This window comes from Homo sapiens, chromosome 17, assembly GCF_000001405.40.
Source record: "Homo sapiens chromosome 17, GRCh38.p14 Primary Assembly".
NCBI classification, from domain to species: Eukaryota; Metazoa; Chordata; class Mammalia; order Primates; family Hominidae; genus Homo; species Homo sapiens.
In genome coordinates this window covers 28,455,088-28,456,825 of record NC_000017.11, presented here as the reverse complement: position 1 = coordinate 28,456,825, position 1,738 = coordinate 28,455,088, and the positions used below count along the sequence as shown (strand labels likewise).

The window sequence follows — 1,738 nt, the reverse complement described above, 5'->3', positions numbered from 1 at the left end:
TTTAGCAGAAAATAATTGATTAAGTCTTTTGAAAAATCCCTGGGACAGCCAGAGTTCAGGCTTAGAGCCTCTGCTACCATTAACAATACTCAAACCAGACCACAAGGCTTCTCTAGCACAGACCCCACTGCTACGACTGTCTACACCAACAGTGCTCAGCATTAGGTACCAGACCTCCTTTATGATTACTCCTGAGAAGCTGTATTGTCAGCGTTCTCCAGAGAAACAGACTATAAACACACACACACACACACACACACGTCTATTTATACAAATGTATACATGTATAAAGAGATGTGTTATGGGAATTGGCTCATGCAACTATGGAGGCTGAGAAGTCCCACCATCGGAGCGCCTCTGCCCCGCCGCCCCATCTGGGATGTGAGGAGCGCCTCTGCCCGGCCGAGACCCCGTCTGGGAAGTGAGGAGTGTCTCTGCCCGGCCGCCCCGTCTGAGAAGTGAGGAGACCCTCTGCCTGGCAACCACCCCGTCTGAGAAGTGAGGAGCCCCTCCGCCCGGCAGCTGCCCCGTCTGAGAAGTGAGGAGCCTCTCCGCCCGGCAGCCACCCCATCTGGGAAGTGAGGAGTGTCTCCGCCCGGCAGCCACCCCGTCCGGGAGGGAGGTGGGGGGGTCAGCCCCCCGCCCGGCCAGCCGCCCCATCCGGGAGGGAGGTGGGGGGGCAGCCCCTCTGCCCGGCCAGCCGCCCCATCCGGGAGGGAGGTGGGGGGTCAGCCCCCCGCCCGGCCAGCCGCCCCGTCCGGGAGGGAGGTGGGGGGGGGGGTCAGCCCCCCTGCCCGGCCAGCCGCCCCGTCCGGGAGGTGAGGGGCGCCTCTGCCCGGCCGCCCCTACTGGGAAGTGAGGAGCCCCTCTGCCCGGCCACCACCCCGTCTGGGAGGTGTGCCTAACAGCTCATTGAGAACGGGCCAGGATGACAATGGCGGCTTTGTGGAATGGAAAGGCGGGAAAGGTGGGGAAAAGATTGAGAAATCGGATGGTTGCCGTGTCTGTGTAGAAAGAAGTAGACATGGGAGACTTTTCATTTTGTTCTGCACTAAGAAAAATTCCTCTGCCTTGGGATCCTGTTGATCTGTGACCTTACCCCCAACCCTGTGCTCTCTGAAACATGTGCTGTGTCCACTCAGGGTTAAATGGATTAAGGGCGGTGCAAGATGTGCTTTGTTAAACAGATGCTTGAAGGCAGCATGCTCGTTAAGAGTCATCACCCATCCCTAATCTCAAGTAATCAGGGACACAAACACTGCGGAAGGCCGCAGGGTCCTCTGCCTAGGAAAACCAGAGACCTTTGTTCACTTGTTTATCTGCTGACCTTCCCTCCACTATTGTCCCATGACCCTGCCAAATCCCCCTCTGTGAGAAACACCCAAGAATTATCAATAAAAAAATAAATTTAAAAAAAAAAAAAAAAAAAAAAGAAGTCCCACCATCTGTCATCTATAAGCTGGAGAACCAGGAAGGTGAGGGCTAAACTCTGACCTTTTTCCTTGCTTGCCCAAATTCTTATCCAAGGGACCTGAGGAGTTATGCCCTACAAACCATAAAATCTCATCAGATGGATTTTATTTAACCCTATATAATGTAGTGTACTTTCCAACTTGACTGTGGCATAACATCACATAACAGAAATAGAAGGAAATCAAAATATTTTACGTGAAAATGTTTCTTTGCTTTTTTTTTTTTTTTTTTTTGACAGTCTTACTTTGTCTCCCAGGGTGGAGTG

At 53.0% G+C, this 1,738-nt stretch overlaps 1 annotated feature.

Annotated features, from left to right (window-relative positions):
• Positions 808 to 1,435: an enhancer, noted in NCBI's record as "NANOG-H3K27ac hESC enhancer chr17:26782409-26783036 (GRCh37/hg19 assembly coordinates)". NCBI's record gives its function as "activates a minimal SCP1, AML or CMV promoter by ChIP-STARR-seq in naive H9 embryonic stem cells {active_cell/tissue: H9 hESC(naive)}" and the evidence as "EXISTENCE:reporter gene assay evidence [ECO:0000049][PMID:30033119]".